General features: G+C 41.4%; 1 protein-coding gene across 3 annotated transcripts in view; it reads right to left on the reverse strand.

Annotated features, from left to right (window-relative positions):
• The window catches only part of KCNH1 (potassium voltage-gated channel subfamily H member 1), a 455835-nt gene that overhangs the window by 427596 nt on the left and 11687 nt on the right, over positions 1-16552 (reverse strand). For all 3 annotated transcript variants that reach the window (XM_047419823.1, NM_002238.4, NM_172362.3), the window contains exon 2: positions 1345-1468. In XM_047419823.1, coding sequence (XP_047275779.1) covers positions 1345-1468 — 124 coding nt within the window. The remainder of the gene's footprint in view (positions 1-1344; positions 1469-16552) is intronic.

A 16552-nucleotide genomic window follows, 5' to 3' on the forward strand; every position in this document is an offset into this window, starting at 1 on the left:
ATTTCTCAGTCCCCAAAATCTAAGATTTAAGAAAGTGGAAATATTTTCAAAACATTTGATACTTCCTTCTTATGAGCTCAAACATTTATTTTATTTTAGAAGAGTATTTTATTTTAAAATAATGTAAAGTGACATGGCTGACTTAGTAAGTAAAAATGCAACTTCTGAAAACAGAAGACTATGCTTGGTCAGACAGGCTTCTCCACTCTTCATAGATGAGTTTGTTTCCTGATTTGGCATGAATGATTCCACTTCATGCAAACACCACTGAAGACAGAAGACTGAAGAAGGCAGAGACTGAGAGGAGCCAAAAGGCTATGGTGGGCCAAGACCTTGCCAGGGCACAGCAGGGGAATGTCTGGCAGGATCCAGGCTATATGTCTGGCTCAACACCTGGAAGATGCTTTAAAAGAGCTTTTCTAACACCACGGCCCAAGGACACTGCTTGGTTAGAAACCCTGTAAAAATATACCAGCTTCACTGTCAGTACAATTTGCTAAGAGTTCAGAGAGAGAGAGAGGTAACAGCATGAATTAGAAGGCAACAAAATATTGGTTCTCTCATCTTTTTCTGAAGTAAAAAACTTTGGCTGAGGCCAGGCATGGTGGCTCACGCCTATAATCCAGCACTTTGGGAGGCCAAGGCGGGCAGACCACCTAAGGTCAGGAGTTCGAGACCAGCCTGGCCAACATGGTGAAACCCCCATCTCTACTAAAAATACAAAAAAAAAAAAAAATTAGCCAGGTGTGGTGGCACGTGCCTGTAATCCCAGCTACTCAGGAGGCTGAATCAGGAGAACTGCTTGAACCCAGGAGACAGAGGCTGCAGTGAGCCAAGATCATGTCACTGTACTCCAGTCTGGGTGACAAAGCAAGACGCCATCTCAAAACAAAAAAGAATTTTGACTGAGGAAAAGCTCTATGAACAAGGCCCTTGTCTCCAACATTGTAGTTACCCTTCTAAAATGCTCATAAATTTTCAAAAATGGTTTTAATCATCTAAAATTTCATTTCACTGTATTTGAGCCTCTAACTTTCACATTTAATTTAATCTAAAATGCCGTAACTTTTGAGTTCACATTTTATAGACAGAATGGTTTTCCTGAGTTCTTCTGGGTTTTCTCCCATCTTAGTGACTGCAAGTTTGTCAGTTGTGGGAACTATGTTTTACATCTGCTTTGATTTTCCCTGTACAGTACATGAACTAGAGATGATATGGCAATAAATTTTCCTGTGAATACACACTAAATGAGGTAAAGGCAATTCCCGAATGCAGTAAACCATTTTCTTTTTCCAAAAGATACCATAATAGATTGTTCACCAGAACAACTCCAAACATAAATACCTGCAGGTGCTGCTTTTTTGCATCACTTCTGCCCTGTGATAGCCAGACAGCTTGCAAAATCCATCATTGCTGTACACAATAGGCCAGTCCACTATCTGAGCATTCCCCAACACAAAATTAGTATCTGTTAAAAAAAAAAAAAAGGGAAAAAAGGGCACATGAGGCAACACATTAGTTGAGATTCAATGAGGACATAAATAATGTCAAGCAATCCAGATATTTCTGATTCCCTCCAAAACATAGACTCTTGAACAGAAATGTCGCCCTGTAAGGAATATAAAACAACATTGTTTTAGAAGTGAATATCTTGAATGCAAGTGCTAACTTAGGTCACTGTACTCCAAAAAGAAGTTAGGAAAGAAAGCATACTTAACCAACCAACCAACAAATCCTGCAGAAACTCAGTGGATTCCCATGAGACATATTTAAGTCCTAATTTTTCATCCCAGTGAAGGTATACCAATATTACAGAGCAAGAGAGAGCCCAAAAGTAATTTATTCTGAGCTCTGTCCAGCATCTTAGCCTTTTCAGTCTTTTGGCCAGAAGCTAAAAATTTGCCTTCTTGACCCTAACTAGGATTTGCCCAACCTAGGAGGGCATCTCAGGAAGGCACAGAAAGGAGGCTAAACACTTCCTCATGGACACACACAGCACCATGGAACCCTCCCCTTGGTGAGGAATAGTAACTAGACTCTCTTAATACTAGAGCTTTGTAGAGGCTGATCAAGATGCTCACACAACAGGACCTTCTTGCTAATTTTGAAATTCTTGCTGATTTTGAAACGCAGCCACAGAGCTGCATTTTGGGGCTCTGTCACAGAGCAGCAGCCTACCACACACTCATAATGCAGGGTTTAGGTAGGCTAGTTGTGTTTGGCCAGCTTAGGGTATTCTCACTACTTCCCACATTTTTGAAAATCAGTCGTCAATACTTTTTATGCTCAGGATATCAACTGTCCTTCCTTTCTTTTCAAGCATTTCAATTAAGCAAATAACATCCAGAACTTAAATGTAATCATTATTTTAGTTTGGCCCTTCCTTTCCACAGAAGACCCACCCACTTCCCCCACCCTCCAAAAACAGAAACAATACAAACAGCCTTCTTTAGTTGTAAACTGGAGAGGGTATTATGTGTGTCTGTGTGTGTGTGTGTGTGTATACACATACTACATAGAGTGAAATAATAGTGATATATTATATCATCATTTAATTGAAAGCATTTACAGTTTTTTCACAATATGGGTAACCATCCCTTCAGATAGGCTTCTCCACCCTTCTTAGATGAGTTTATTCTTGATTTGGCAGGCTTGGGAAAATGATTCCACTTCATGCAGACACCACTGAAGACAAAAGACTTGGAAGAAGACAGGGCCTGAGAGGAGATAAGGGTTGTGGTGAGCCAAGACCTTACAAAGGAGGGCAAGGGAGGAGGAATTACTAAATACAGCAATCTATTCTTGAGAATGCTTTGATCTATTTAAAAGGAACAGAAAATACAACATTTATGATGTGAATCTATAAAGCTACTATTTTTATAAATATGCTTTTAATGAAAATCTACAACCAGTCCTTCCCTCCATCTCTCCCATATATACATAAATTGTTCTTGAGTGCCAACAGGTGCCAAGCACAATGCAAGACCCTGGGGGTCTCCAGATTGATAAGAAATGGTCCCTGCACTCAAGGAACTTAGCAAGACAAATAGATATGTCCACAACTAACTAAAGAAACAGGTAAGAAAACAATGAACTCTGAGAGAGGTAAAGGGCTGCGTCTCAGAGGGGATAATATTTGAACTTGCTCTAGTCTAAAAGGATGAGTAAGATTTATTTAAACTTTTTGAATGCCTAAAAGGTAACTGGCACAGATAATACAAAAACAATAGATATAGAAATTAAAATATGGTCACTGTCTTCATGAACTCAAGAGGGTGTGAGAGGAAGGGAACATTCCAGGCAGAGGATCCAGCATGGGCAAAGGCATGGCAGCATGGAACACAGTGCAGGCTAGGGTAGACAAAGGGCAGCCAGGAAGAGTGGCAGGATGAGTAACTGAAGACTAGACTGGGAAGGATCTGGAATGAATAAAGTCAGAGAGCTTTGATTTTATCGTAGGGGCAGAATAATCCTTCATATTGGTCTTCTCTCCCTGAATAAACTCACATTTCCTGAACTGAATAGCTTAGACTTAAAAGTAGTACAGTATTTACTAAATTACTCCCAAGTGTATATGAAGCCTAGTTGGTTTGACCATCTCTTGTTAAATCCTGAAATAGTAGTTAATTTCCCTCAAAACACCTAGAGCAGGAGGAAAAACTGAGTGTGCTTTATCATGGCTAATGCTCCACTGAGATTATCTATGCGGAAAGAGGGAAGAATAGCCAGTTATAGATAATGAGTTGACCACATATGTTTATTTTCTCTTGTATACCAGACCCCAGTAAAATAAAAGTAAACAAATTAAAAATGTAAAAATCCACAAAAATGAAAATTAGGTTAAAAAGAATGAACCAAAAAAAAACTGGGGAAGAAGCAGCAATATTATAGGAAACAGAGAAGAACTTTAAAAAAAAAATCTAATTGGTATCCTTAGAGAGATTCAAGAAGTATTACATCCACAAAACAAAAACAGAATGCTATGAGGAAAAAAAAATAAGGGAACAAGAACTCTTATAAATTAAAATGAATAGCAATTAAATATTCAACATGAATTTTAGAAGATAAAGTCTTACAGAAAGTAGTACAGAAAGAGAAAGAGACAAGAAACAGAGAAGAAAAAAAAAAAGACATGAGGATCAGTCCAACAGGAAAAACATATACCCTAAGAGGAACAGCAAAAAGAACAACATGAGAAAAGGCCAGAGGACATTCTCTTTAAAATTAAAACAATAAAATGTGAGTGTATAATGAAGATATTTTCATATATGCAAAGATTAGGGGAAATTATTTACCACATATTCTTTCTTTGGCAGTTACTTGAGGATGTGTACCAGCAAAATGAGGGAATAAAGCAAAAAGGAGGACAACATGGAAACCAGGAAAAAATAGCTCCAAATGTAGAAAGCAAGGAAGAGAGCTAGTAGACAGTATTCAATACTGAACAATTCAGAGACTAGAAGTTCCAAAAGAGAATTATCTGGGGGTAAAGGAGGTTAGGATTTGATTATATTCTTGATCATTTAGAACAACATTATCAATAAAGGTATGGCAGGAAAGGGAATTAGAAACATCAAAGGAAAACAAAAACCAAAATCTCATGGTCACATCATTGTAGGAATAAGGTAAGCACCTTATTAATTTTGAATTTTAAAACCAATACATAATAAAGGATGGAATATTTAATTATCATAAGTATCTGAATGTAATCTCATTGATTCTGATGCTAAAAATACAGGTGATAAAAGTTTAGGGAGAGCAAAGAGAACAATGATGAAGCAAATAAGAGATAGTGTGTACAGCTGATTTAAAAAATGGTATAAATATTTTACTTAAAGTTGCAAAGATAAATAAGAGAGTAATATAATTATATTAGGAGGAGGGGTAGGGAGTAAGATTAAGTGAGCTAAAACCTCAACTAATTAACAGAAGTCAACAGATAATATCCAGAATGGATAAATCTATAAATAGCTCTAATGCATGTTATTTAGAGACATGGCAGAAACTATAAGAAGAAAGCTAAAATTAGAAGCCATGGCCTCTGGTGAGTAGGATGGGAGGAGGGACAAGGCATAGAATGGTTATTTACATTACATTACAAGCTCTTCTGCTTGATTTTTGTAAACATGAACTTACTGACTTTGATAAAAATAACTATGTACTTAATTTTAATTAATTTAATCATAAAAGATTAATTTATTGATTAAATTTTTTACTTACTGAAAAATGAGAGCAAGATAGATTTCAAGCTCCAGATATCACTGCAAGTGCTCACAAAAATGTTCTGATAACCTTTTAAAGTGGTTTATCCTTTCGTAAGCATACCCTCAGTCCCTGGTGTGCATATTACAGCCCCATCTAAGAAAAACCAAACCCACCGCCTCTGCCCAGCGGTCCCACCGTCTGGGAAGTCAGGAGCGCCTCTGCCCGGCCCCCCCACCGTCTGGGAAGTGAGGAGCACCTCTGCCCGGCCACCGCATGGTCTGGGAAGTCAGGAGCGCTTCTGCCCGGCCCCCACCCTTTGCCACCGTCTGGGAAGTGAGGAGCCCCTCTGCCCGGCCGCCCATCGTCTGGGAAGTGAGAACGGCCTCTCCTTGGCCGCCAAACTGCTGGTAAGTGAGGAGCACCTCTGCCCGGCCCCCCGCCCCGTCTGGGAAGTGAGGAGCGCCTCTGCCCAGCCACCTCACTGTCTGGGAAGTTGGAGCGCCTCTGCCCGGCCCCCGCCCCGTCTGGGAAGTGAGGAGCCCCTAACCTGGCCGCTGCACTGTCTGGGAAGTGAAGAACGCCTCTGCCCGCCCTCCCCCACCCCACCCAACCCCAGTCTGGGAAGTGAGGAGCGCCTCTGCTTGGCTGCCCACCATCTGGGAAGTGAGGAGTGCCTCTGCCTGGCTACTGCACCGTCTAGGAAGTGAGGTGCCCCTCTGCCTGGCCGCTGTACTGTCTGGGAAGTGAGGAGCACCTCTGCTTGGCTGCCCACCATCTGGGAAGTGAGGAGTGCCTCTGCCTGGCTACTGCACCGTCTAGGAAGTGAGGTGCCCCTCTGCCTGGCCACTGCACTGTCTGGGAAGTGAGGAGCACCTCTGCTTGGCTGCCCACCATCTGGGAAGTGAGGAGCGCCTCTGCCTGGCTACTGCACCATCTAGGAAGTGAGGTGCCCCTCTGCCTGGCCGCTGTACTGTCTGGGAAGTGAGGAGCGCCTCTGCCCAGCCACCTCACCGTCTGGGAAGTTGGAGCGCCTCTGCCCCGCCACTGCACCGTCTGGGAAGTGAGGAGCATCTCTGGCCTGCCTCCGCCCCGTCTGGGAAGTGAGGAGCCCCTAACCTGGCCGCTGCACTGTCTGGGAAGTGAGGAGCTCCTCTGCCCCATCCCCCACCGCCCACCCCCCTCCACCCCTCCACCCCTCCCCCGGGGCCCGGGTCTGGGAAGCGAGGAGTGCCTCTGCTTGGCCGCCCCACCGTCTGGGAAGCAAGGAGCTCCTCTGCCCCGCCGCTGTGCAACTCTCCAAGTATGAAGTGACAGCCTTGTGTGTGATCTTTCTGCCCTCCCCAAGTTTGCATTTTCGACATTAAAGTTTACTTTTTATTAAATAAATAAAAAAAAAAAAAAAAAAAAAACAAGCCCACTAGCATCTTCTCTGACTTTAGTAAGGGAAACAGAAAAATAGGAAGTGCAGTAGGAATAGAATCATCAGCCTATCACCCACTCAGAAGATTCTCACCATAGAATTTAAAGTTCCAAAATAGTTTCCTCTCACTACTAACCCAAGCAAGCAATTATAGCTCTAGGGAGCAAGATTCCCTTGTCACTCCATGATAGAAGGTCTAGGAATTCCCTCTTTACCCAAGGAGTTAGAGAGAATGGAAGAAAGATTTCTAGTCCCAGCCACAAAGCCGTCTGCCTCCAACAGTATAGAAATTCTTCCCCCATCCCTTCCCCATTCCTAGCACGCACGTTCTCTTCTATTTTAAACCACAAATAATCGACCTGTAAATTACCTTCCAGAACACAATCTGTTTATAAGTTAGGGGCTACCCATATAAATACCATAACACCACATATATCATTAGGAATTAAGGGATTCCACATAAGTGAGATTTTAGATATTAATAATAATGGGTACCATTTATTGATAATTACTCTTTACCAGGTACTGTTTTAAGTACTTTACCATATATCATGGTTTTTTTCAACCTTTACATGAATCTTTGTGAAGAATTATTACTTTACTGAAGGAAGTCTCAGGGATTTCATCATTTTACTCATGAGGAACCTGAGTCTCTGAGGATGCACAATAACCATTTATACCAGGGTAAAGTTGGGATTTGAACCTAGGTCTATGTGACTTCAAAATTTATGCTTTTAATCATTATATTACATGGTCTGCTTATGCCATTGGGTGCTAAAATCAGACCATTTCTATGAATACCGTTATTGTAGTCATACATTGTTATTCTGCCTTCTGATATACAATGATGCCCTCTGGAAATTTTGATGTGAGTAGAAGTCATTGTCCCACTTCTAAATGCTTGGGTTCTCCTGTCTATCTTTTCAATGTTTGGTCTCTTCCTTGAAGACTACCATCTTTTACTTCTTAAAACTTAGTGTGCTGGCCAATTTCTATAACAGTCCTGCTCCCATACAATGGAAGAGGAGAAGGAACAGGGGAGAAGAGGGTAAACTTTGTGCCTGGCTCCCCATTTGACACTCAGGGGTGAGGAAGAATACCACACTGGGTGACCCAAATCAGCTGCACAGGAAACTTGGCCATGTTAGCACTCCTGAGCCTCCCTCAGTTCCCATGGAGTCTGGAAAGAATCCAGAAGTCCCCAACTGCCCGTGGCTGCTGAAGTTGAATAAGCAGATGGTTATCACAGTGGAGTGAGCTGACCTTATAGCCAAGGGCTATATGTCAACCTACCCAATCCTAGGATCAACTGGGGTGGGTGGGGGTGTTCAGGGGAGGACGGTGAGTCAGGCAAATATCAGACATGAGCTGGAGGCCAGTAATAGCCTACATTAGATCAAGTCTCTCTCTCTCTCTCTGTCTCTCTCTCTCTCTCTCTCTCACACACACACACACACACACACACACACATACACACACACACAGAGAAAGAGAGAATATGTGTGTTGGATTGGGGCAGAGGTACCAAGTTTCATTCAATCCAAGAGAATGGAACATAAGTTCGCCAGCTGTGGACTGGAGCCCCACATATCAGCTGAGCACCCAGTGACCAGCAGAGCAGGGACCATTGCCAGAGACCCAAGGAACAAGAGGGGAAAAATAGGGCTCTCCATCCAGGGCTCTGAGGCTCCAGATACTATGCAAGGGCCACTTGTTTCCACCCCACACACCATCTTAGAAGCAATGAGGTGGGTAGAAGTGCAATCTGAACCCACCCAGAAGAGACTGAGTTACCCAAAAGACTATTTAAACTGGAAGAGCTCGAGATACCACTTTATAGTCCCCTCAACCACATTCCCTTTGCTATTCAGTAAGATGGGAGGGAATGGCAAAGGGGAAGATTAGATCTGTTAAATAAAATAAAGAAATAAGCCTATGTATGTCTGAGTAAATTTGCCAGCGTGCCTCTAGAAGTACGTCTGCCATAAGAATAAACAGGCTGAGAAAATGGGAATCTCCTGAATAAAGTACATAAATTCCAGTACGAGGACACTATGACAGCAACTTTGCTTAGCCAAGGTTTCTTAATTCCCCCAGGTGGTTGGCCATATTCCCCATGGTTGAGAATGCCAAATAAGAGAGCTAAAGTGACGCGACACAGAGTTTCTAGCCAAATGCACACAGATGGGCGTTCTACATCCAAACATAAATGACTCTGGGATTATTTACTATTTTTTGCACTCAGTAAACAGAAACCTAATTTTAAGCTAAGCAAAACATAATTAGCAAAGTAACCCACTGCTTGGACAAAATATCAAATAATATATAATCTCCTACATAAATAAATGGAAATATATCCCATGTTCATGTACTGGAAGAATTAATAATTCTTTTTTTGGGGGGTGTGGGAGTTGGTTTTTTGTTTGTTTGTTTTTTGTTTTTTGTTTTTTTTGAGACAGGGTCTTGCTCTGTTGCCCAGGCTAGAGTGCAGTGGTGCAATCTCGGCTCACTGCAACCTCTGCATCCCGGTTTCAACCTCCGCCTCCCGGATTCAAGCAATTCTCCTGCCTCAGCCTCCTGAGTAGCTAGGACTATAGACACACACCACCATGACCAGCTAATTTTTGTACTTTTAGTAGAGACGAGGATTCACCATGTTGGTGAGGCAGTTCTCGAACTCCTAACATCAAGTGATCCACCGGCCTTGGCCTCCCAAAGTGCTGGGATTACAGGCATGAGTCACCGCACCTAGCAAGAATTAATATCGTTAACATGTTCAGACTACCTGTGATGGTTAATACTGAGTGTCAAATTGATTGGATTTAAGGATGCAAAGTATTAATCCTTGGTATGTCTGTGAGGGTGTTGCCAAAGGAGATTAACATTTGAGTCAGTGGGCTGGGGAAGGCAGACCCACCCTTAATCTGGTGGGCACCATCTAATCAGCTTCCAGCAAATATAAAGCAGGCAGAAAAACGTAAAAAGGCAAGACTGCTCTAGCCTTCCAGACTACATCTTTCTCCTGTGCTGGATGCTTCCTGCCCTCAAACATCGGTCTCCAAGTTCTTCAGTTTTGGGACTCGGACTGGCTCTCCTTGCTCCTCAGCTTGCAGACAGGCTATTGTGGGTCCTTGTGATTGTGTAAGTTAATACTTAATAAACTCCCCTATATATATATATATGTATATATATATATACACACACACACACACATACACATCCTATTAGTCCTGTCCTTCTAGAGAACCCTGACTAATACACTACCCAAAGTGATCTACAGATTAAATGCAATCCTTATCAGAATTCCAAGGACATTTCAGCCAGGCATGGTGGCTCACATGTGTAATCCCAACACTTTAAGAGGCCAAGGTGGGAGAATTGCTTGAGCTCAGGAGTTTGAGACCAGCCTGGGCACCAAAGTTAGCTTGTCTCCAATAAAAACTTTTTAAAAATTAGCCGGGCACAATGGCATGTGCCCATAGTCCCAGATACTCGGGAGGCTGAGGTGGGAGGATCACTTGAGCAAAAGAGGTCAAGGCTGCAGTGAGCTATGAGCATGCCACTGCAATCCAGCCTGGGCAACAGAGCAAGACCCTGTCTCTATAAAAACAAACGAATCAATGACATTTTTCACATAAATAGAAAAAATATCCTAAAATTTATATGGAATGCTAAACTCATTCAAAAACACCCTCTCAGAAACACTGAGAATAATGTTAGACTAAATATCTGGGCACGCCATGGCCCACTGATAAAATTAACTACCACAAACACCAAAGCCAAGGCTCTTAACAATATAACTTCTGCAGTAGTCTTTAATGGAATCAGCAGAGCCACAACTTGCAAATTTTCAATGCCCTCACAGTCCTAGTAGTACTCTGAGTTTGGTAGGAGTGAGCACCATTTCAAAGCTCTATTTTGATAAAGAGTTTTTATGCAGGCAATACTTACCTTTCCACACCTGGGGTTTCCACTGAGAGAAAGGAGTGTCCACCCACCCCTAGATAGAAGAAGTATTGGGGTGAATTCTTTTGTCCCCCTTTTCATCCCCATCACTTTTACCTTCATAATCAGACGGACCAAACTGTTGGTAGCTACATCAAGAGCAAGAGGAATCACTCTGTTTGTCTTGGTCTGTCATACTTGCCTATGCCCCAGCCTGGTGGGGAAAGAGAGGGTTTGAGCAACTTGTCTCCTTGTGGTACTCAGAACCTATAATACTTGTGACAGGCCCTGCCAGACCTGTGCTCAACTTCAGCTTCTTAGCCTAGGAGTAGGTCAGTAACTCATGGTCTAGAAGCCAGGGTATAAGCTTGAGAAGGGAAACAAATGGCACCACTATCTTCTCTAATCCAATATAATAGTAATGGAGCTGATTCCGTATTTTGACCCTCATTTGGCTCCTTCAGTCTTCCATTGAGTAAAAATCTGAAGGGAATGAGAGTAAAATGGGCTCCAGCACATTAATAAGAATCAAACCTCCAAGATTCCAAGGGTATTGAGAGGTCACCCACTTTCTTGATTCCTAGCACTGCTGAATCACACTGGTGAGACCCTTTATGAATACCTTCAGAGGAAGAGGCAATATGGCCACTTTTAGAACACTGCTGATGCTGTGTAAGCTCTTTTCACTGTCTTTCTTTTGTGTGTATGTGGAGAAGACCAGACACTTACACATCTCAGGTCTCCTACTCTATGTTAGGTAATACAGTCAAAGCCTCATTATAACCAGTTAAGATTATATTGGTAGCCCCCAATAAGCCCTGCCTCCTTGCATTCACGCCTTGTGTAGCTCTCTCCCCCTTGCATCTGGGTGGCCTATGATTTGCTTCAACCAACAGAATGCAGTAGACTTGGTGCTGTGCCCATTGCAGGTGTAAGCCTTAAGATCTGGTGACTTCTGCTCCTGTGTTCTTGGGAGCCCTGAGCTTCCATGTGAAAAGTCCGGCCATGCTACAGGAGAGGCCATAAGGAGACTGTGCAACCAGAGCCAGCCTAGAGAGAAAGAGGTCCTGAGATTACATGGAGAAGAACTGAGGAATCTAGTCAACAATGAAAACCAATAGAAGAATGAGGGGTAAAAGATACTCTATTAATCTACTCTTCCCCTTCCCCAGCAATCCCTAGGCTTCCCAGAGCACCATTTGTGAGAAGAAAGGGGATGATAACAAGTTGAATTCTAGTCACAGTGTTGTCCCTAATGAGCTGTAGGTAAGTCACTTCAGCTCTGTGGATCTGGTGGGGGACAGGGTCAACTAAATCTCCATGCTTCTGGCAGCAATAAAATATGACTGTCTAAGTAATCAGATGTATAACAAAGAACAAATCAGATGATGCCCCACAACCTGCAAGCCATGCATCCATATGGAGTAATCAAACCGGTCATGACCATGAAATATCACTTCTCTAAATGCTGGACTCTGTGCAGCCTGGGTCATTTCAAAAACAGCAGAAACACCCTCTAAATGTAATACCCTAATTCCAGGTGAACCATGTTGTATCAGGCTTTTGCTCAATGGAATTGTTTGGATTTGGGATATGATGTGATGTGCAGTATTAATATTAAAATGTGCCATGTTGTCAAATGAGTCAACAATAGAAATAAATCACATATTGGTGGGTCCATTTATATATGGGGAAAATGCCTAAATGTGTCTTTGAAAACAAATATGCTATTGATGCACACACATACCACACACGTATGTGTATATATGTATCTTTTACAAGTAGAATATGTAACTTCCAATCAGCCAATAACCCATTCTGAAGCATCAAACCTGCCTCCAAATTTGTATTTTCTGAACTTATCAAGTCCTTCCTACATTGTTCAGTAAAATGTGTAGGTTCAACCTGGCTGCCCTTGCCATGATTTATTCATTGGCTCTCATCTGAAAGTTCCCCTGCGTCCCAAGTCTTTGATGCAAATTAGCCAGATTCTACTGCCGCCTTCTGATGCTTTTTTACCCCCTAAGGGTCTATAGCTGCAAGAGTGTGTGCAATTAAGTGTAAGGTTTCCTAAATTCAGCCTTCCTCAGCCCACATAGTTTTCCTCTGGTTCATAGCATAAAACAAACATTCTCTAAAAATTTAAAAGACTCCCTTCCTCCCCCTACTGTGTAAAGTTTCTCCAACTGATGAGGCATGAGCCAAACTACACTGCAGTAGTCAGAAGTGTCAAAATCATTCCAAGTCTGCCATTTGCCCATAAAGCATAACACAGAGATATTCTCAAGAGAAATTATTAAAAATTGCTTTTCATCAAAATTACGACAAATAACAAAGGAAAAACTAACTGAAGCAATGACTTAGAAAAGTGACTCAGTTTGGCAATTACGCAGATAAAAGCTACATTCAGCTCGCAGTTCACACAAGTGTACTGTTCCCTGCCAACACTGGTTATTTGGAGGGCTACAGTAAGTATTTCACAATACACGTCTAATAACTTGAGATATTTTACTTAGAAGAGCACATGTCTTCCTGACATTTTGGAAATAGAATTATAGATTTCTAAGGATATCAGTACTCTTACAAAAAGCAAGTTTGAGGCCGGGCGCGGTGGCTCATGCCTGTAATCCCAGCACTTTGGGAGGCCGAGGCAGGCAGATCACGAGGTCAGGTGATGGAGACCATTCTGGCTAACATGGTGAAACTCCATCTCTACTAAAAATACAAAAAATTAGCCGGGCATGGTGGCGGGCATCTGTAGTCCCAGCTACTCAGGAGGCTGAGGCAGGAGAATGGTGTGAACCCAGGAGGCAGAGCTTGCAGTGAGCCAAGATCGTGCCACCACACTCCAGCCTGGGTGACAGAGGGACACTCCATCTCAAAAAAGTTTTAAAAAAAGCAAGTTTGAGTAAAAGTATACTTTCCTTCTTTTAGAATAATTAAAGAATTGAAAGATAATGATTGAGATAAATGATGAGAATAAGTGCTGTGTATTTTCACTAGACAAAGACCAGAAAACAATAGTTTGATTTACCTGAACCTAAATAAAATCCATACCAGAAATTACTTCAAAAAAAAAAGACAGATCAAGGTTATTTAGGAGAATGGAGAGGATGGAATGAGAAACAAGAAATTAAATCAGTATGATATACCCAAATAAAACATCTAAAATCTTAACATCAGCAAAAGTCATCTTGTGGCTCTATTGTGATTTTCAACAATAAAGTCTCATGAAAATGACTCTTCTAAATTGCCAAAGGCCTAATCTTTGCAGAAAACAAACGGAACTCTCAAGAGATTCAATAGTTATTTGCTCTGTCTGATCTTAATATCCTACAGAAATACATTTTTTATTAAGTCAGTAAATTACAATGGAGAGAGAGATTTCAATTTCAAAAGCAAACTCAAATACCTCATTTACTGGGTAGTTACCCCTAAGTACATGATTTCAAAAGCATGACCTCCATCTTCATTCAGCATCAAATTAATTTTAAAACAATAAAAACAGATGAACCAGTTTCACAAGAAGTATGGAAGAGAATGAAAATGTGTTGAAATATAGAGACTTTTATTACTGAATGATATTTTACTTAAGAAATAAGAGATCAGTGATATCTTGAATTACTGCTAAGAAATATTTGTGTAATCAATTGTTTAAAAATGTTTCAATAGATTAATCAATCCATTGAATTGATTGATTATATATATACATTTTTTTTTTTTTTTTGAGACAGGGTTTTGCTCTTGTCCCCCAGCATGGAGTGCAATGGTGCAATCTCGGCTCACTGCAACCTCTGTCTCCTGGGTTCAAGCAATTCTCCTGCTTCAGCCTCCTTACTAGCTGGAGTTACAGGTGTATGCCACCATGCCCAACTAATTTTTATATTTTTAGTAGAGACGGGATTTCACCATGTTGGCCAGGCTGGTCTCAAACTCCTGACCTCAGCTGATCCACCTGCCTCAGCCTCCCAAAATGCTGGGATTACAGGTGTTAGCCACCATGCCTGGCCTGATTCAATAGATTTTATTCTCATTTTTACAGTCTTAATAATTTCTTAATGCACATCTATATATATTATAGACAATTTGAACAAAAAGTCTTAGACCATAATTGAATAACACAAAAAATATCATTCTCAGAACTCAAAAAAAGTGACTCAAAATAAGCAATACAAAAATATTAATGAGTACTAGAAAAAGAGGGGTTTTTTGGTAAGTTGGCTTTACATTTGTCTACTGTGTTATTTCAAGGAAGTCAAGTTGTCTCTGTTTGCAGACGACATGATTTTATGTTTAGAAAACACCATCATCTCAGCCCAAAAACTTCTTGAATTGATTAGCAACTTAAGCAAAGTCTCAGGATACAAAATCTATGTGCAAAAATCACAAGCATTCCTTTACACCAACAATAGGCAAGCAGAAAGCCAAATCATGAACGAACTCCCATTCACAATCACTGCAAACTGAATAAAATACCTAGGAATACAGCTAACAAGGGATGTGAAGGACCTCTTCAAGGAGAACAAACTACTGCTCAGGGAAATAAGAGAGGACACAAACAAATGGAAAAAAATTCCATCCTCATGGATAACAAGAATCAATATCATGAAAATGGCCATACTGCCCAAAGTAATTTATAGATTCAATGCTATTCTCATCAAACTACCATTGACATTATTCACAGAATTAGAAAACACTATTTTAAATTTCATGTAGAATCAAAGAAGACCCTATATAGCCAAGACAATCCTAAGCAAAAAGAACAAAACTGGAGGCATCACACTACCTGACTTCAAACTACACTACGAGGCTATAATAACCAAAACAGCATGGTACTGGTACCAAAACAGACATATAGACCAATGGAGCAGAACAGAGACCTCAGAAATAAAACCACACATCTACAACCATCTGCTCTTCAACAAACCTGAAAAAAACAAGCAATGAGGAAAGGATCTCCTATTCAGTAAATGGTGCTGGGAAAACTGGCTAGCCATATGCAGAAAACTGAAACCAGACCCCTTCCTTACACCTTATACAAAAATTAACTCAAGATGTAACTCAAGACTTAAATGTAAAACCCAAAACCATAAAAACCCTAGAAGAAAACCTAGGCAATACCATTCAGGACATGGGCATGGGCAAAGACTTCATGACAAAAACGCCAAAAGCAATTGCAACAAAAGCCAAAATTGACAAATGGGATCTGATTAAACTAAAGAGCTTCTGCACAGCAAAAGAAACTATCATCAGAGTGAATAGATAGCCTACAGAATGGGAGAAAATTTTTGCAATCTAGTCATTTGACAAAGGTCTAATATCCAGAATTTACAAGGAAATTAAACATATTTACAAGAGAAAAACAAACAACCCCGGCCAGGCGTGGTAGCTCACGCCTGTAATCCCAGCACTTTGGGAGACCCAGGTGGGCGGATCACGAGGTCAGGAGATCGAGACCATCCTGGCTAACACGGTGAAACCCCGTCTCTACTAAAAAAATACAAAAAAATTAGCTGGACACGGTGGCGGGCACTTGCAGTCCCAGCTACTCGGGAGGCAGAGGCAGGAGAATGGCGTGAACCTGGGAGGCGGGGCTTGCAGTGAGCCAAGATCATGCCACTGCACTCCAGCCTGGGCGACAGTGAGACTCCGTCTCAAAAAAAAAAACCATCGAAAAGTGGACAAAGGATATGAACAGACACTTCTCAAAATAAGACATTTATGTAGCCAACAAACATATGAAAAAAACTCAACATCACCGATCATCAGAGAAATGCAAATCAAAACCACAATGAGACACTATCTCATACCAGTCAGAATGGTGGTTACTAAATAGTCAAGAAAAAATAGATGCTGGCCAGGCTGTGGAGAAATAGGAACGCTTTTACACTGTTGTTGGGAATGTAAACTAGTTCAACCATTGTGGAAGACAGTGTGGCGATTCCTCAAGGATCTAGAACCAGAAATACTATTTGACCCAGC

The sequence above is a fragment of the Homo sapiens genome, chromosome 1 (assembly GCF_000001405.40).
Source record: "Homo sapiens chromosome 1, GRCh38.p14 Primary Assembly".
NCBI lineage: Eukaryota > Metazoa > Chordata > Mammalia > Primates > Hominidae > Homo > Homo sapiens.